Below are 20,360 nucleotides of genomic sequence, written 5' to 3' on the forward strand. Positions count from 1 at the left end.
CTTATATATTATTTTAAAGCAATTTTATGACAAGGCCAAGCCCAAGTGAAGCAAACAATATCTTGTTGCAATGGCCCTCCCTCTTTCCCATTTTCTTCCCAAACTTACAAACATTGGGTGGTGACATAGCATAGATGTTATAATGCTACAATAGAGTGTAGTACAGTATTCCTTCTGCAATCCACTTAATCAATGGATAAATGTTGATTGTGTATCTACTATGTACCTAATGTGACATGGTCAGTGGAGATTTTTATTGTAAGAGTTGACCTCTTAAGGGAAGGAAATTCCAATCTCCTCACCCCATGCTGACTCAACCTCTAAAAAAATAAAGACTAGTCAAGTTCAAGGATGATAATTTATTTCCAGTTTCTTTTTTCTTTTTCTTTTCTGTCTTTTTTTTTTTTTTTTTTTGACAAGGTCTTGCTCTGTCACCCAGGCTGGAGTGCAGTGACACAATTATAGCTCACTGCAGCCTCTACCTCTTGGGCTCAAGCTATCCTCCTGCCTCAGTTGGGACCACAGGTGCACACTACCATGCCCGGCTAATTTTTTAACTTTTTGTAGAGACAAGGTCTCATTTTGTTTCCCAGGCTGGTCTTGAACTCTTCAGGTCAAGCAATCCTCCCACCTTGGCCTCCCAAAGTGCTGGGATTATAGGTGTGAGCCACCATGCCTGGCCTGGTTTCTATTTTCTAAGGTTGAGTCATCTTGTGGAAAATAAGAACAAAACTTGGGATTTTTTTTTCCAGCTTTATTGAGGCATAAATAACAAAGTAAAAATGCTGTATTTATTTAAGGTATACATGTGATGTTTGATATATGTATACATTGTGAAATAATTACCACGATCAAGCTAATTAATATATCCATCAATTCATGTACTTACTGCTTTTCTGTGTGTATGAGAAAAATTAAGATCTACTCTCTAGAAAGAAATAATCTTTTTTCAGCAACATGGATGGAAATGCAGGTCATTATCTTACGTGAAACAACTCAGAAACAGAAAGTCAAATACTGCATGTTCTCCCTTATATAAGTGGGAACTAAACAAGGGCTACACATGGGCACAGAATGTGGAATAATAGACACTGGAGACTCCAAAAGGCAGGAGGAGGGAGGCGAGGGGAGGGTTAAAAAATTACCTATTGGGTACCATGTTTACTATTCTGGCAATAGATACACTAAAAGCCCAGAATTCACCACTACACAATATACGCATGTAAGAAATCTGCACTTTTACCCACTATATCTATAAAAATGTTAAAAATTAATATTAAAAATAAAACAAAGTTCTACTCTCTTAGCAAATTTCAAATATATTGTCCAATGTTGTAATACTGAATTATTCTAATACTGAATTATATATTTGAAAACTTTAATATTTAAAAGTAACAATTTGCTACATTTACAAGAAATGAAACTAGGGACCACCACAGGCCCTAGTTTCCTACAATCTTAAGATGACAGACTTCCTTTACGTAATCTGAGACCTATCAGAGAACTGGCTGTCCAGATAGGGAAGGATAAGTTGCTCTTTCTGCATTTGCTGCTTCTTAATTGCCTTCAGGTCAAAATAATTCTTAGGGCCAAATGGTGTATTTTGGGGTGGTGTATTCTAATACCTTTTAGGTACCCTAAGGATGAATAGTGTCCCCTAAAAAGTGATATCCACTTGGAATCTCAGAAAGTGAACTTATTTGAAAGCAGGCTTTTTGCAGATCTCATGAGTCAAGGATCTCAAGATGCAATCATCCTGGAGTTAGAGTCAGCCCTAAATCCAGTAAGTGGTGTCTTCATAAGAAGTGGGGAAGACACAGAGAAACACACACAGGGAAGACAGCCACATGAAGATGGGGGCAGATATTGGCGTGGTGTAGCCCCAAGCCAAGGAGCCAAGGATGGGGCCACCTTGGCCACAGCTGGAAGAGGCAAGGTAACACTCCTTCTTAGAGCCTTTAGAGGGACCGTGGTCCTGCTGACAAGAGTGACTTTTGGACACATGGCCTTCTAAACTGTGAGAGAATAAATTTCCATTGTTGTAAGCCACCTAGTTTGCAGTACTTTGCTTCAGCAGCCAAATGAAACCGATGCACCCAAAGAAACATCTCATCAACCCCCTTTAGTAATCACCTGCCACATTTATCTCTGTGCATGGTGAAAGTCCTTACCCAGTGCCTCAGAACTATGATGTACAATGTAGGAATTCTGGAGGCCTTAACATAAGCAGGACACCATGAGGGGCCTTCTATGGCACGTACAATTCAAGACTTTCACGTATATTTCCAAGTTATGCTACCAACTACACATCCCCAGAGAGCCCTCATCACTAGTACTTCTAAAATATTTAATAGAATAATAGAACATTTCTTCCTTTGCCAATTAACATTTCAGCAGTTACTTTAATATCTAAAATATTTTAAAGGTTTCTTTCATCTCGGTAGAAATTCTTTGCAGCCAGGGAGCTGTGACTCAAAGATGTATTTTAGCTCAGAAGCAAAGCCATTCCATTTATTATCCCAGATTTTTCGTTAATTTGAATTTTTGTTATTATGGTTCAGAAATTTGGAATTGAATGGAAATTTTGCTCCCACACTTGATCCAGTGTGAGATGTTGAAAAAGTAGGCAATATTTACCCTAAATACAAGACATTTAGGCAGATATATTGGGAATAAAACCCTGACATTCTAGAAAATGATGTTTTTATTAATACCAGAAATATTCCGGTAGGTGTTATCTGTACTCACAATATCTAATACTCAAGAGTATGATGTTGGCATTTCACCAGTAAAGAAAAGCTGCTTTTCTGCTTTCCTCCTAAATGGTGCTGCATTTCCAACACTTCACAAAGCATTGAACACACTGCCACTGGAGGCAGCCATGAATATTTTATTCCCTCTCAATAAAACAGTTAAACACATCCATTCTCTGCCGTTCAAGGATTTGTAACCTAAGGCCATGGCTGCACAATTTTAAATGAACAGAGTTAGAAAAAAAAATTAAAAAGAAAGAAGTCCAAATTTCATTCCTTCCATTTGGTCATTTTTGTGGAGCCAACTATCTAAGATCTACGCACAAAAGAATACGTGGAATTACATGGTTTGGCTGAGTCCCCACCCAAATCTCCTCTTGAACTGTAGTCCCCATGTGTTGTGGGAGGGACCTGGTGGGAGGTGATTGGATCATGGGGGTGGTTTCCCCCATGCTGTTCTCATGATAGTGAGTGAGTTCTCACGAGATCTGATGATTTTATAAATGGCACTTTCCCCTGGGGTTCTCTCTCTCTCCTGCCACCTTGTGAAGAAGTTGCTTGCTTCCTCTTTGCCTTCTGCCATGATTGTAAGTTTTCTGAGGCCTCCCCAGCCATGCAGAACTGTGAGTCAATTACACCTCTTTCCTTTATAAATTGCCCAGTCTCGGGCAGTATCTTTACAGCAGTGTGAAAATGAACTAATACATGGAATGATTCCACATTATTTGAAAAACATGCTATATATATTGAGAGTGAGATACATCAGGGACCCCTCTTAGGGGCCCACCCCCCACCCATCCCCTGTTCCCAAGCATGGAAATAAGGCAAAATCTAGAGTTCCTTCAAGGGAAATTCCAGGCACCTAGCTGGCCCTGAGAAGTAACAGAGCAACTTGATAAGCCAGAAGGGAATAGTAGCCTAAAACAATAGCCAAGGAAGCTCATAGCCAAGAGTTGTTTGGGTCCCTATAGAAACAAAAGATAATATCTTAGCATATGTTCCTGAGTTGTTTTTCAGAAGCCTGGATCCCTGAAAAAATGGATCCACTGGCATGTAGACCTCAGACAAGGGGCAACTGAGGACTGAGCTCCGACTGCAACTCTTTGTTCTAAATTTCTTCCTGAGGGGCCTAGAGGAAGTCATGCCCATGGACCAGAGCTCAGCATTCCTTTCTGCTGATCCCAAATTTTTAGACAAAACTTTCCCTCCTTATCCGATCACAAATCAGAGAAACTTTGAATCCACCTATGACCTGTAGGCCACTCCCCTGAAATCGAGATGTCTCACCTTTTTTAGGTAAAACCGACGTATGGCCTCCATGTATTAACTTATGGCTTTGCCTGTAACCTCTGCCTCCCTGCCTTTTAAAACCTCCACCTGCAAGCCATCAGGGAGGTCAGGTCTTAAGCCTGAGCTGCTTGATTCTCCTTGCTTGCTGCCCTCAATAAATACTTCACTTCCTCTTACTGCAATCCTGATGTCAGTGTTTGGCTTTGGGGTACCGGGTGAGTGGACCCTAGTTCGGTTTGATGTCAACAGTGTGTTGTATGTGGAAGGATCCAGAAGCTCCTAGACCCAACTTGGTTACATCAGCAAGCCACAAAGTTGAAGGAGAGACTTAGAAGAAGCCTGGGAATCAGGAGGCAGTGATTTCCAATGTGCACAAACATACCTGTGTTTTTTCCCCTTTTTTGTCATTAAAAACAAATATTTAGATGTTTTTCTGTATATGCTTTAAAATCTAATATGTTTGTATTTTGTCTGTCTTTAAACTATAGCTACTTGGAAATATTAATGAAAAAGTGGCCAAGGAAGGTAAGGCAACCATTGATGAATAAAATCTAAATGGTCAATATACACAAAGAAATCAAAGAAATGTTTATTAAAAAGATGAAATTACTCCTTTTCAATTTATGAAAATTGCAAGAATGTTTTTAAGAGGGTTCCCAAGAGTTTTCAGGAAAGCACCAGTATGGGGACTTCTACACCTTGCAGAAAAATGCATAAATTGAAAAAAAAGAAACACAGAAAAAAAAGCAAATCATAAAGTTGTGCACACACTTGGACTCGGAAACTCAAACTTTGGGAATTCAGCCTGAAGAGATAAACATGAATATCGTAAACTAAAAATAAAATTCTAAGCCCCACAACTGACTTAATGAAACATCTCTTAGCCAAAGGGACCCCAGAATAACCTTGAAAACTGAAGGCCACGACGAGACGGGGTGTCAGACACACCTCGTTATACCCCATCCCTCGCTAACCACCATTAGACTTGCTTCCCTAAGGGTTAAATAGAAACCAGCCCTTTCCAAAGACTCCACTGCTGATATCAACCAACCGCCCGATGCTGCCCCTACCCTTTGTGATTTCAGCACAGCAACCAACCAGTATTTCTTCCTGATAAGAGACCCTGACCATGGAGTGGTTCTGGCTCGTCTATGGAGAATGTGCAATGAGGGTGTTAGTGTCTTCTGCTTCACCTTCTGACATCAGAAGGCTGAGAACTCAATCCTGGGATCATGCTAACATCACCATTCCTTGTACATGGGACACATGAAGGGGCATGAAGCTCCACTGCAAATACACACGTTTCTTCTTTCATGAATATCTGTGATGCCTCTTATAGCTTATTGAATACGTATATTCAACCACCCTGCTCAGCATAAATTCCTGTTCCCTTTGCCCCTCCCTCGAAGTGTCTGTTTCTGTCTTCTGGCCACAGGCTACATTTCCCAGTCTGTCAGAACAGCCACCCTACAGGCTACAACCCTTTATAAGAAATAAAGCTCTTCTTTCCAAATTTATGTACCTTGTTTTCTTCAGTTGACAATATAAGGAATGATTTAGCTACAAGGTTGTTTTAGCAGAACTGACAACAACTTTATTGCCCAATACTGGGACAGGGGAGGCAAAATGTGGAAAGCTCTCAAATGGAGTAATGTGTACCCAAAACCAATGATCTCAAAGAATTATGTGTATTATACAGAAAGACGTGAATCATATCTGAAATGTAAAAAAAAATCACAAAGCAGCGATTACATAATGATCCTGTCTTATGGAAAAACATTAAAAGTTTTGCTACACTGAATAAAGTATGGAAGGTCACACAAACATATATGAAACATGAATCATTCCAGTGGTGGGTTTGTTGTTAGTCTTCACAGTGTTCTTTATGCTTATAGGTATTTTCTAGGTGTAAAGTAAACATGGATTAATTTGATGCTTTGAAAAAGAAAAGCTGTTTTAAAAGTTGAATTCTATATTGTCTGTTTTTTTTTGTTTGTTTTTCTGTTTGTTTGTTTTTTTTTTTTTAATTGAGACAGGGTCTCACTCTATTGCCCAGGCTGGAGTGCAGTGGTGCCATCTTGGCTCACTGCAACCTCCGCCTCCTGGGTTCGAGTGATTCGCCTGCCTCAGCATCCCGAGTAGTTAAGACTACAGGCACGCACCACCACGCCCTGCTGATTTTTTTGTATTTTTGTAGAGATGCGGTTTCACCATGTTGGCCAGGCTAGTCTTGAACTCCTGACCTCAAGTGGAACTCAGGTGATCCATCCACCTCGGCCCCCCAAAGTGCTGGGATTACAGGCATGAGTCACTGCACCCGGCTGAAAGTTGCATTATATATTGTCTTGGTCTCAACAAATACACAAAAATGGCATAGTTGAGGAGGGTGCAACTACAAATGGCAGTTGGGAATGAACAGATTCATAGATTGCTTACATTTTATCACTAAGGTGGACCCAAAAGTTATTAATTGAAGTAGTAACCACATCAAATGTGCTTTAAAAAATATTAAGCTGTATGAGGCTGGGTGTAGTGGCTTACGCCTGTAATCCCAACGCTTTGAGAGGCCAAGGCAGGAGGATTCCTTGAGGCTAGGAATTCAAGACCAGCTGGGCAACATAGTGAGAACCCATCTCTACAACAAATTTAAAAATTAGCCAGGTATGGTGGCACATTCCTGTGGTCCCAGCTACATGCAAGGCTGAAGTGGGAGGATCAGTTGAGCTCAGGAGTTCAAGGTTACAGTGCACTGTGATCACACCAGACGTAGTGAGACCCTGTCTCAAAAATAAATAAATAAATAAATAAATAAATAAATAAATAAATAAAAATAAAGCTGTTTGAATTGCACATAAATCCCATGAAAATTATATACCATATCATTCATAATTTGACAGTGGTTAAAGTTATAGACAGATGCTAAAATTTGAGCAATTCCATTTGTCCTTTAAACAGAACAAGCATCTAACCACAATATTGTCCTTTGGGCTTTCAAATGATACTATCTTTCACAGCCAGCCTCTTAAAAGGAAAAACAAAAAGGAGGAATATTAGACATCTAACATGATTCCCTGCCCTTCCTGCCTCCATGACTTGTGGCTGCAGATAAAACAAACGAAGAAGTTTTAGATAGAGTGAGGCCCATTCTCCTAGTACACAAAAGCACTATTTTTATATTGACTCAGGAGAGAACTCACCTAAAATTATTCTTTGGTTCTGACAGCTATTTGCAGGCTTTAGAAAAGGGGAGGAAAGGAGTGCCTTTCTCAATCACTCTTTAAATAAGTGCCCTTGGGTGAAACCGACACCTTGTCTTCTACGTTACTCCTTTGAGACTCTCAGAGCATGCAGAGGCTGAGAGATTGAGACACTGCCCTTCCAGCCCCTCAGTCAGACTCCTAAATACCAACTCTGGTCTCTTTTGCTCGCTTCCCATTTTATCAGTGGGGGCAACTGATATTTCATGTTTCTTATTTGAGAACAGAGCTTTTTAAACATTAATGTGCACACATATCCACTGGGGAGTTTTGTTAAAATTGTAGATTCTAATTCAGCAGAGCTGGGGTGGGGTCCAATGGTCCACATTTCCAACAAGCTCCCAGGTGAAGCCCACGCTATTGGTCCCAGACTGTGCCTGAATATTAAGGTTTTAGATGATGCTAAAGAAAACAAGAATATTTTCTTGTACATGATCATTTTCCATAGTTTGCATATCGTGTGTTCAGCTCAAGGCAGTGTTGTGGATCATTTTCCATCCCAGAATGTGGATTGGGTCATTCCAACACAATGAATGTCTCTGAAATGGATAAAACAGTAAAGACATGGATGTTCCAGGGTTTTTCAATCTAGCGTCTGTGGAGCATAAGGGAACTGTCCACTTCCATGGAAATTTAAACAACTAGGCTGGTATCATGCTCAGCGAGGAGGCAGAACTGGAATATAATTTAAGGACAGTGGTGATGAGCTGTGTTCGCAATGGGGGCACATGATGTTGGTGTTTCCTAAGCCAATCCTTTGCCATTGCACAGAAGTCAGAGATGGTGACACATTAGGTCAACCCATGGCACCATGATATATCAGAACAGAAACATAAATCATATTACTGAAATCATATATCTGGAGTTGGGTGGTCCTTGACATATACATACACTATATCAACAACCCAGAAAGAAGGCGGTCTCTTCATCCGAGTGGCCTGAGACAAATGGCATGCAGAATTTGTTGTCCTTGCTTTCCATGAGAAGTCCACTCCCACTAAGTACTTTGAGATTTGTTATGAAAACTTTATTAAATGTATCACAAGTGAGATGGAGGGGTTTGACTCAGTCCTCCAGATCTTTATCACCTTGTGTGCTTTTCACTATCTTCTTGCTCCTATTCTCCCTCCTCCTTATCCTTTTCCTCCTTGGATGATCTGTATCTTTCCAGTGAAGCACAGCCCTTAAACCCATATACACCACTAAACTCCATGCTCCATAAAACCAAAGGGTCTGCTTTTCTTTAAGAGACTATTCAGCAACCATGTATTGTTCCTCTTGTACATCAGTTAAGGCTCATCTCTCACCCCCAACTGCTAATTGCTTAATCTTTCTGCAGATAACTCTATTAAATAAAATGTTCTTTCTTTTTCTGTTTATAAATATTGCTTTTCATTACCCTTATGTTAAATGTTAATGTCAAAACTCCCTGTATTAATTGTCTACTGCTGAAAAACAAATTACATCCAAATTTTATCTTTTTAACACAACACACATGTATTATGGTTTCTCTGGGTCAGGAATCCGGGCACAGCTTAGCCCACTAAGTATCTTCTTCTGGATCATTCATGAAGCAGTGATCATGGTGCCAGCCAGGGCTGGGATCTCATATCATCCATCTGAAGGCTCCATTGGGGAAGAATCTGCTTCCAAGCTAACTCACATGGCTCTTGGGAGGATGTGATTCCTTGTAGGCTATTGGCTTGAAGCTACCCTCAATTCCTGGCCATGTGGAAATGGGACCTTGCCCTGTCTCCAGTATGGCTGCTCGCTTCCAATAGAAAGAGTCTGGTAAAAATGATGGAGTCAGGCTGGGTGTGGCAGCTCACACCTGTAATCTCAGCACTTTGGGAGGTTGAGGCAGGCAGATCACTTGAGGTCAGGAATTTAAGACCAGCCTGGCCAACGTGGTGAAACCCTGTCTCTACTAAAAATACAAAAATTAGCCAGGAGTGGTGGTGCATGCCTGTAGTTCCAGCTACTCAGGAGGCTGAGGCAGGAGAACCACTTGAACCAGGGAGGTGGAGGCTGCAATGAGCCTTGATCATGCCACTGCACTCCAGCCTAGGTGACAGAGCAAAGCTCTGTCTCAAAAAAAAAAAAAAAAAGATGGAGTCATAGTTTTATAACTTAACTTATTTCTCATCAGTTAGTCATTTCTTTTTTTTTTTTTTTTTTTTTTGAGACAGAGTCTTGCTCTGTTGCCCAGGCTGGAATGCAGTGGTGTGATCTCGGCTCACTGCAAGCTCCACCTCCCGGGTTCACGCCATTCTCCTGCCTCAGCCTCCAGAGTAGCTGGGACTACAGGCACCCACCACCACTCCCGGCTAATTTTTTGTATTTTTAGTGTAGACAGGGTTTCACCATGTTAGCCAGGATGGTCTTGATCTCCTGACCTCGTGATCCACCCACCTCGGCCTCCCATAGTGCTGGGATTACAGGCGTGAGCCACTGCGTCTGGCCATCAGTTAGTCATTTCTATTGGTTAGAAGTCATGTTTTTAAAAATGAGATTAACATTTAAATAGGTTTGGATGGCAGTGTCCCGTAAATAGGTAGGCTTAGGAAAGCAGATGGCCCACTCTACTGTGGGTGGACTTCGTCCAATCAGGTGAAGGCCCGAGTAGAGCAAAAAGACTGACCTTTCCTTCAGTAAGAGAGAACTCCTTCTGCCTAACTAGCTTTGAGCTGAGACCTTGGTTGTGTGTTTTTTTTTTTTCCTGCCTTCAGCCTCAAACTGAAACACTGGCTCTTCCTGGGTCTCAAGCCTGCAGGACTTTGGAATGAAACAACATCATCAGTGCTCCTGGATCCCCAGCTTCCAAACTCACCCTGCAGATCTTAGAACTGGTCAGCCTCCACAACTGCATGAACCCATTTCTTATAATGAATCTCTATCTAAATATAGATATAAGTATCATGTATTTAAAATCTATCTCATTTATCTACATTTATCTACCTATCTACCCATCATCCATCCATCCATCCATCCATCCATCATATCTATCTATCTATCTATCTATCTATCTAATCTATCTATCCATCCATCCATCCATCCATCCATTATATCTACCCATCCATCATATCTATCTATCGAGCCATCCAACAAAATGCTGGATATTTTGTTCTGTATTCTTCCAATAACTGATAAATCCTTATTCTACTCAACTCTTTACTCTAGGGATCCTATGGCTCTAGTTCCATGACATCTCAAGAGGACTCCAGCACCATATTTTGCTCTTCATGAAAATATCTACCAAAGGAATGGGAACTGGAGCTTCTATTTATGCTATGGTCACATTCCCCATGGCCTCTACCAGTGGAGGGATAATGACACCTGAAACCATTTAGAAGATGCCTGCATGAAGACAACCTCCCCAGCTCAGCCAGGCATAAATGCAATGGTGGTTGATGCTCTTGAGTGGAAATGGCCCATTTCTACAACTTGCTGCAAACCGCTACTGTGCACAGTGCCTGGCTTACAACTGCAGCTGATGTGTTATAGTGCTGCAGTCGGCATGCCTTCCTTGGTTGCAGAACACTCTGAATTGGCTGGAACTTTTTCAGAATATCTATTCATTAGATCCTAAATGTTTATAATAAAATGTCAATGCCAGGGATAGCTAACAATGACAACAAATGCTTGTTGCCCTTAGTTTCTTAGAGGAGAAGAAAGAGTTTGCAGCACCAATAACTTCATGGGAATTTGGGCCCTGTGGGAGAAGACACATATTAAAACTAAAACCTGGGTAGTTAATTTCACTCTTGATAACTGTTAAATACAGGAGCTACAACTGAAGTCATCCCAGAATATTCCTGGATCACTATTTTATTTAGGGACTCAATAAGCTCATCTCCAATCCTGCTATATGGAAACACCCATTATTGAGAAAATGGAATATCACAGAAAGTAAGTGTTCAATGGGCATTACATATATTTGTACAGTCCACAGTGGATTAGGAACAATTTTCTTTTCCTTGACTCTTTTCTCCTTTGGTAGTAATTTTTTTAGAGTAAAATTTCTATTTTGAAATAATTTTAAATGTACAGAAAAGTTATGAAGATAGTACAGAGATTCCCCATATATCTTAGCTTCCCCTAATGTTAACATCTTACACAACCAAAGCACATTCGTCAAAACTATGAAACCATCATTGTTACAGAACTACTAACTGCATTACAGGCTGTATTAGGATTTCCACAGTTTTTCCAATAATGATCTTTTCTATTCTAGGATTCAATCCAGGACACTGTTACAATTAGTCACCATTAGTTTCCTCTATACTGTAAGAGTTTCTCAGAATTCCTTGTTTTGTGTGACCTTGATATTGCTGTGGTCTGAATATGTTCTCCCAACATTCACATGTTGAAACATAGTTGCCAGTGTGGTGGTATTAGGAGGTGAGATATTTGGGAGGTGATTAGATCATGAGGGTGGAGCCCTCATGAATGGGATTAATGATCTTATAAAAGAGGTGGTAAGGAGCTGTTCCCCCCTTTTGCCCTTCCACCATGTGAGGACACAGCAAGAAGGCACCATTTATGAACCAGGAGGTGAGCCTTCACCAGACACAGACTCTGTCATGTCTTGATCTTGGACTTCCCAGCCTCCAGAACTGTGAACAACAAATGTCGGTTGTTTATAAATTACACAGTCTAAGGTATTTTGTTATAGCAGCACACATGGACTAAGACATATTTTGTCTTAGTCCCTCTATCTTGGTTTGTCTGATATTTTCTGATGATTAAACTAGAGTTATAGGTTTTGGGGAAGAAGATCTTAGCAGTGAGGAGCACTTTTCATCATATCATATTAGGGGTTCACATGATTTATCATTATGATGTTAGCCATGATCACCTGGTAAAGACAGTGTCTGTGAAGTTTTCCCACTGTTAGTTACTCCTTGTTTAGTTTTGACCATGAAATTTAAAAGAAATGTTAATTTAAAAATATCTGGTGTTATATTTATATCTTACTTCAATTGAGTTTATTTTTTCTGTTTTCAATTTATTTCTAATTCAATTCCATCTTTGTTCTTTTCTTTCGTCTAGAAAAAAAATTAAACATCACATTTTTCATAGAACTCTCCTGCTTAAACCTGGAGGCTGTTCATGGTTGGGATAAAAGAAAACCCATATTTTGAGCATCTCAAAAGGTATGAGGGAGTCTAATAAATATTTTATATACATTTCCTACTTACATTTCATAAGAAATGTAAGTTAAATATTAATACACCACTTTTTTTTTCAAATGAAGAAACCAATTTCCTGAGGCCATAGGGAAAGAGAGGAAGTCATAAAATAGGTAGGATAGAACCCAGATTGTTTAGCCAGAGGTTCAAGATCAACCATAAACTTTTCAAATTTGATTCCTGGAGTTCTACTGCACGGACACACTCCTACAGAAATGCCAGGGTCTGTGCCCTGCAGCAAGAACATTCCCTAAGCAGCAGTGCATTGAACATTCACCCCTATAGCCCCCATTCTCCAAGTTGCTTCTCCAAATGTCACTTATCCTCCAAGCCTGGCTGAAGCCCACCTCCTCCAGAAAGCTCTTGTTGATCACTATGCCCTTGATATGGTTTTGCTGTGTCCCCACCCAGATCTCATCTTGAATTGTAGTTCCCATAATCCCCACTTGTCATGGGAGGGACCTGGTGGGAGGTAATTGAATCATGAGGGTGGTTATCTCCATGCTTTTCTCAATGATAGTGAGTGAGTCCTCACGAGATCCGATGGTTTTATACCCACTTCCCTTTCCCACTTCCCACTTCCCTTTGCTCTGCGCTTCTCCTTGCTGCTGCCATGTGAAGGATGTGTTTTCTTCCCCTTCTACCATGAGTGTAAGTTTCCTGAGGCATCCCCAGCCCTGTGCAACTGTGAGTCAATGAAACCTTTTTCCTATATAAATTACCCAGTCTCGGTATGTCTTTATTAGTAGGGTGAGAATGGACTAATACAGCCCTCAACAACTGTTCCTTTTACACTGAACACATTGTTTCTTACATTCTTTGGCACTTGATAATATTCTGGGCTCCTTTGTTTCCCAGTTTGTTAAACAGGGTCAGTCCATGCATGTGCCATACTGTAGAGGGGATGAACTTTCCAGTCCTGATTGACAGTGCTGTGCTAGAAACCCCCAGGAGAGCTCTCCAGCATCCTGGCTGGAACCATGCACTGCATCCTTCTCACCACATACTGGCTCCTCTCGGCTTTTACCCCTCTTGTGGTCACTCTCATATAGATGGCTCCGTGTCAGTCCGTGTCAGCCAACTGCAAGGTTAGAGGGGCAGTCCTCCAGGCTGGCTTGCTTCTCACAATCACTCCAATTTCAAGTAGGTTCACAAAACTACCCTGTTTTAATAATTTGCTAAAAGGACTCACAGGAGTCACTGAAAGGTGTTATGCATATGGTTATGGTTCATTACAGCTAAAGGAGACAGATTTAAGTCAGCCCAGGTAAAAGGCATACAGAAAAGAGTCTGGAAAAGTTGCAAATATTGAGCTTCCAGATGTCCTGTCCCTGTGGAGTCATGGGCAGTGTTGCTTTCCCTGCATTGCTATGTGACAGTATGCATGGAGTATGTCCAACCTGGAAAGGCCACCTGAGAATTGAGTCCAGAGATTTCACTGGGGCTCTATCACACGGGTATTGATGATTGCCCATGGGGCAGATCTCCATCTCCAGCCCCTCAGGAGGTCAAGCTGATGCTGCATGGGTCAAAGACCCTGCCCCCCTACATTCCACTGATAAGACTCTGGCATGACCAGCCTCCTACCTGACATCACATTACTAAACTATGCAGTGACCCAAGGCTATCAGGCAGTCAATCCTACCAGGCTTGACATTCCAAGGGCTTTGGGATCACCTCCCTGGGCAGATTTCTTGCTGAACAAGATTAAATTCTTTACTACATAGTGAGGTACTTCTGTCTATCTTGGAGACCTTTGTCCTCTTTTAACTTTTAGTTCCTTTTTTTTTTTTCCTTTTAGAGACATAGTCTTCCTCTGTTGCCCAGGCTAGAGTGCAGTGGCATGATCGTTGCTCACTGCATCCTCCAACTCCTAGGATCAAATGATCCTTCTACATTAGCCTCCCATGCAGCTGGGACTACAGGTGCATGCCACCATGCCCAGGTATTCTTTTTGTTTTTTGTAGAGATGGGTCTTGCTATGTTGCTTAGGCTGGTCGACTTTTAGTTCTTTATATGCCTTCTTAACATAACCAGATTATGTTTGTGTATGCAGACACCAAGACATTGACCGTGATGTTTCTCTCAGTGCTAGGATCACAGACAATTTTTTAGTTCTCATTATGCTTTTCTACTATATCCATATTTTCAACAGAAATTGTCGCTTTTATAATTAGGATGGGAAAACAGATTTTAATGAGGCTTTTTTCCCTAAAACATATTGCTTAACCAGTTTTGCTCACAATGAGCACCAGAATTTGTCCACTCAGTAAGTCACTTATATAACATAATATTTAGAGGATCCTATGCTTTTATTTCTGAGTTATGTAAAAAATGACAGAAAAATATGTTAAGAATAATTTAAACTCCATTCATTAATTAAACTACACATAGTTTAAACTATAGGGCTTGTATATTACCCCTGAACAATATAAACATATACACGACACATATATGCAAACAATAATTAGCTACTTGTGTAGATATATGGACATTTTGTGCATTGTGTTACTCAGGAACATATAAGACTCTGTAGCCAGTGTGATAATGAAGATAAATCTCCTTTCTATCTGGTCTAAATTCCTTTTCTGCCCATTCAATGCTACTATTTCTTGTTTGTTTGTTTTTGGAGATGAAATCTCGCTCTGTCGCCCAGGCTGGAGTGCAGTGGTGCGATCTCAGCTCACTGCAACCTCCACCTCCCAGGTTCAAGTGATTCTCCTGCCTCAGCCTCCCAAGTAGCTGGGACTACAGGCGCATGCCACCACGCCCAGCTAACTTTTTTGTATTTTAGTAGAGACGGGGTTTCACTGTGTTGTCAGTCAATCTGCCAGCCTCAGCCTCCCAAAGTGCTAGGATTACAGCATGAGCCACCACGCCCGGCCACTACTATTTCTTGTTAAGTATGCATCTTCAGTGGGGGCAAACATTGCTCCTTAGGGAACAAAATAGATTTTTAGGGCAAAAAAAAAAAAATCAAACTATCTTTATCAGTAAAGTATAGAAATGCATGCAGTACATAAACAGATATGTAATATATCTGTATTAAACTTTTGTGGGGAGGGGAAAATGCCCAAAACACAGGAAAGATGTTGAAAAACATCAGTCTGAACTATCTGGGCTGGAGGTGGTGACCCTGTTTGCAGAATGTTCTTAGCTTCTGTCTCTGCAACTGTAAAGTGTTCATTTTCAGCAAATTCTTTATAAATACATTTTTAGAAAGAGAAGGATGCTTTGCTGTTACGGTGTACAAAATGCCTAACATTAAGTACTTCTTGACCAAGACTGAATTTTATCCCTCTGACTATGGCCCAACCTAGCTAGGCACAACTCTGTTTGTCATGGACTTTGCAACCAAAAGCCACCATAGAAGGGTCCTGATTCCATTCTTAATGGCAGGAGTCACTTCCTGGTGAGTTATGTGTTTTGTACTCTGTTGGGTCTGCTTTGAAAAGCCCCCTCCTTTCCACTGCCTGGCATCTTCTACACAGCATCACCTATGTGAGCCTAAGGGCACACATCTCTCAGATGAGATGAGAATGAGAATGGATTCACCTCATCATGTCCAATGAAGCCATGACTAAACAATGAAAGGCAGATGAAAAATTTAAAGAAAACCACTTCCATAATGGGAAATTCTCATCTATCCTTTTACTAGAAGTATCAGTGTTGTGCCTTATCCCAAATAACTGCTGATGCATGCAGCCTGAGCCCAGGGGAGGAGTTGAAGATAAGGTTAAAGAGAGCTAGATAGTGTTCCATCAGTCAAGGTCGGCTATGGTTTGAATGTGTCCCTGGAAGTTCAGGCATTGGAAAGTTAATCCCTGATGCAACAGGTTTAAGAGGAGGGACCTTTAAGAGGTGATTAGGCCATGAAGGCTCTGCCCTTATGAATGGATTAATGCCCTTATCATGGGAATGAGTTTATCTCAGGAGTGGGTTTCTTATTAAAAAAAAAAAAAATAGTTCAGCTCTCTTTTCCACTCTCTCTCACCTTCTCTTTGCTCTTCTGCCTTTTGCCATGTGATAACACAGTACAAAGTCTCTCACCAGATGCCAGCCTCTCAGTCTTGAACTTCCCAGCCTCCAGAATTGTGAGCCAATAAATTCCTCTTCATTATAAATTATCCAGGCTGTGGTATTCTGTTATAACAGCACAGAAAAGACTAAGACAGAAAACTGGTACTTAGAAGTGGGGTTGCTTCTTTAACAAATACCTGAGAATTTGGCAGTGGCTCGGGAACTAGGTAATAAGTAGAGGCGGAAAGAATTTGGAAGAGCAGGCTAGAAAAAGTATACATTGCCATAAATGTAATGTTAAGGGCAATTCTGATGAAGGCTCAGAAAAGGAGAGTTGTAAAGGAAGTCTGGAACTTGTTAGAGATTACTTAAGTGGTGGTGATCACAATGCTGGTAGAAAAGAGTAAAGAGGCTGGGCGTGGTGGCTCATGCCTGTAACCCCAGCACTTTGGAAGACCAAGGTGGGTGGTCAGGAGTTCCAGACCAGCTTGACCAACATGGTTGTTTGAAATGCTTGTTCCCCAGTGCCATAAGGAAATAGCACTTGAACATAAATTTAATTTACTCAGCAAGGCCATTTTTACTTCCTACAGAAAGGGTACACGCTCCAGCAGTTTTGTCAGAGTATACCGAACAAAGGAGATAGGGTCATTTATAACCTTACGCGTCCACCCTACTGCTGTGTCCGGTTTCCATTGGCTGGAATGGGACCTCATATTCTGTATTTGTTCCAACTGGCTAGCAACTTATAACTTTTTAAAAGAGGCAAAGGTAGAGGAGAACAAAGGAAGGCGGAAGTAACTTGTGGAATGCTGAGAAAGGTAAAAACACCTTCAAAGAAGGAAGAGGAGCAGGCTATGACCTAATGCTTGCTTGGACCAGTATAAGTATGCCAGGTCAAATATTTAGGCTAAATTGTGGGAGCTAAGAACATAAAGTACACTAATTTCCTTATCATGGCTAGCCGGTATTTAAGAATGTTAGCACAGGCCTTTGAATAAATTTTGCTTCTAAGAGAAGTTACTATTTATTCCTAATTAAATGGGGAGGAAAGTCTTTGAAGAGGAACCTCTACTTTACTTTTTACAATGGTGAAACCCAGTCTCTACTAAAAATACAAAAAATTAGCCAGGCATGGTGGTGGGCACCTGTAATCACAGCTACTCTGGAGGCTGAGGCAGAAAAATCGCTTGAACCTGGGAAGCGGAGGTTGCAGTGAGCTGAGATCACGCCATTGCACTCCAGCCAACATTGCACTCTTGGGCAACAAAAGTGAAATGCCATCTCAAAAAAAAAAAAAAAAAAAAAGAGAAAAGGTCCTTCTGATGAGGTCTCAGATGGAAATGAGGAACAACTTATTGGACACTGAAGGAAAGGCCATCCTTTTTACCAAGTGGCAAAGAATTTGGCTGAATTGTGTCCATGTCCTAAGACTTTATATAAGGCAGAACTTAAGACTGATGAGCAAGAAATTCAGCAAAGCATTCAGGATGCTGTGTGGTTTCTCTTAATTGCATATAATACAATGTGAGAAGAAAGAAATGATTTAAATGCAGACTTTATAATTAAAAGGGAAACAGAACTTGGAGATTTGAAGGATTCTCAGCCTGGCTAGGAGGTCAAGAATGAAAGAGCATTTTCAAGAGAGGAAAACAGGGGTGTGGCCAAGAGATAAGGAAATTAACATGATAAAACAAGCCAGAGGCCATTCAGCAGAACAATGGGAGAATGATCCTGAAGGTATTTCAGAGATTAGCAATTCTGCCCCTCCCATCACAGGCCCAGAGTGCCAAGGTCTGGGGAAAGGAAATATGTCAAAAGAGAGGCCCATGGTGCCCATGGGACCACAGTACTCACTGCCCTGCACCACCTGAAGTGTCTGCTTCCCACATTCCAGTGCAGTGCTCCTCAGGTGCCCCAGCTGTGGCTCAAGTGAGCCTAGGTTCAGCTTGACTCCCCACTGCAGAAGGCACAAGTCATGAACCTTGGTGGTGTCCACGTGGTGCTAATTCTGCAGGCATACTGAATGCAAGCGCTGTGCAGGCATGGCTTCCGCCACCCAAATTTTAAAGGATGTCAATGACAACCTGGGGACCCAGAAACAGGCCTGTGACAGAGGAGGAGCTGCTGCAGACAGTCTCCACCAGGGCAATGCCTAGTGGAGCTTTGGGAGAAGAGTAACCCCCTAATCCTGAGACCCCAGAACTACAGAGCTACCAGCATTTAATGCCAGCCCAGTAAGCCACAGGCGCCTGACCCCAACTCATCAGAGAAACTGTGTGCTCTTCAGTAAAATGGTGGGGATTGGGCCCCTAGGGCCTTCAAGGCCCAACTTCCACCCCAGGGTATCTACAAGGTGGAATATAGAGTCAAGAAATACTATTCTGGAGCCTTAAGATTTGATGTTGTTCACCCTGTTGAGTTTTGGACCTACATTTCTGTAAGTCCAATAAATTTCTGTTCTTTACAAATACCTATTTCTTCCTTTTGAGAGAATGTGTCTCCTATGCCTGTCCCACCATTGTATTTGGAAAGTAGATATCTTGTTTGATTTCAGAGGCTCACAACTGAGAGAAATTTGCCTCAGAAGAAATCAAGCTTCAAATCTTACCTGTATCTGATTTAGATGAGACTTTGGACTTTTGACTTGGTGCTGGAAGGAGTTAAGACTTTGGGGCTATTGGGATGTAATAAAAGTATTCTGCATGTAAGAAGAACAGAAATTCAGGAGGCCCTGGGCAGAATTCTGTGGTTTGAATGTATCCCCAAAGTTCAGGTGTTGGAAATCTAATTCTCAATGTATTACAATAGTGTTAATAGGCGGGACCTTTAAGAGGTGATTAGGCCATTGAGGGCTCTGCCCTCATGAATGGATTAATGTCATTATCACAGGAGTGAGTTCCTTATATAAGGCCAAGTTCCGCCTCCTCGTTCTCTCTCTCTTTGAGGCAGGGTCTTGCTCTGTAACTTACTGCTCTTGCTCTCTCTCACCCTCTTTGCCCTTTCACTTTTTGCCATGAGATGACACAGCACGAAGGCCCTCACCAGATGCTGGACCCCCAATCTTGGACTTCCCGGCATCCAGAATTGCGAGCCAATACATTTCTGTTCTTTATAAATTATTGAGACTCCAGTATTCTGTTATAGCAGCACAAATCAGTCTATGACAGGGTCCAACCAGAAAACCAGGAATCACACTAGGTATTTCCACAGAGGACATTGAATGTAGGGAATTGATTACACAGGTGTTGACAGCTACAAAAGCAAAAATGAAACATCAGGTCATGCAGAGACAGTAGCTTTAGAAATCAGCTGCCACCAACAGAGTATAGAACACAGGTTGGCCAGCTTTTTTTTGTGTATGTGATGGGTCAGACAGTAAATATTTTAGGCGTTTTGCACCATATGATCCATGGAACAGCTGCTCATACCTTGCCACTATGGTGGGAGAGCAACCATACACAATATGGAAATAAATGGGCATGGGTTTGTTGCAATGAAGCTTTTTTTTACAAAAACAAGATGTGGGCTGGATCTGGATTCCACACATACAAAACTCATTTTAATTACACTCTCCTTATTTTTTTCTAATAACTATTTCCTATACCAAAATGCCACCTGGCAAACTCCTATTCATCCTTCAAGACTCACCAAAAGTAGGCCAGGTGTGGTGCCTCATACCTGTAATCCCAGCACTTTGGGAGGACGAGGTAGGTGGATTGCTTGAGCCCAGTAGTTCAAGCCCAGCCTGGGCAACATGGTGAAACCCCATCTCTACAAAAAACACAAAAATTAGCCATGCCTGTAGTCCCAGCTGCTTGGGAGACTGAGGTGAGAGTATCACCTGA

The 20,360-nt window shown here is 41.4% G+C and overlaps 1 protein-coding gene across 2 annotated transcripts in view, besides 2 other annotated features; it reads right to left on the reverse strand.

Annotated features, from left to right (window-relative positions):
* The window catches only part of PUDP (pseudouridine 5'-phosphatase), a 442,316-nt gene that overhangs the window by 235,109 nt on the left and 186,847 nt on the right, over positions 1-20,360 (reverse strand). The window lies entirely within an intron of this gene.
* Positions 17,840-18,465: an enhancer, noted in NCBI's record as "OCT4-NANOG-H3K27ac hESC enhancer chrX:6876827-6877452 (GRCh37/hg19 assembly coordinates)". NCBI's record gives its function as "activates a minimal SCP1, AML or CMV promoter by ChIP-STARR-seq in naive and primed H9 embryonic stem cells {active_cell/tissue: H9 hESC(naive and primed)}" and the evidence as "EXISTENCE:reporter gene assay evidence [ECO:0000049][PMID:30033119]".
* Positions 18,466-19,089: an enhancer, noted in NCBI's record as "OCT4-NANOG-H3K27ac hESC enhancer chrX:6877453-6878076 (GRCh37/hg19 assembly coordinates)". NCBI's record gives its function as "activates a minimal SCP1, AML or CMV promoter by ChIP-STARR-seq in naive H9 embryonic stem cells {active_cell/tissue: H9 hESC(naive)}" and the evidence as "EXISTENCE:reporter gene assay evidence [ECO:0000049][PMID:30033119]".

Source organism: Homo sapiens, chromosome X (assembly GCF_000001405.40).
Source record: "Homo sapiens chromosome X, GRCh38.p14 Primary Assembly".
Lineage (NCBI taxonomy): Eukaryota > Metazoa > Chordata > Mammalia > Primates > Hominidae > Homo > Homo sapiens.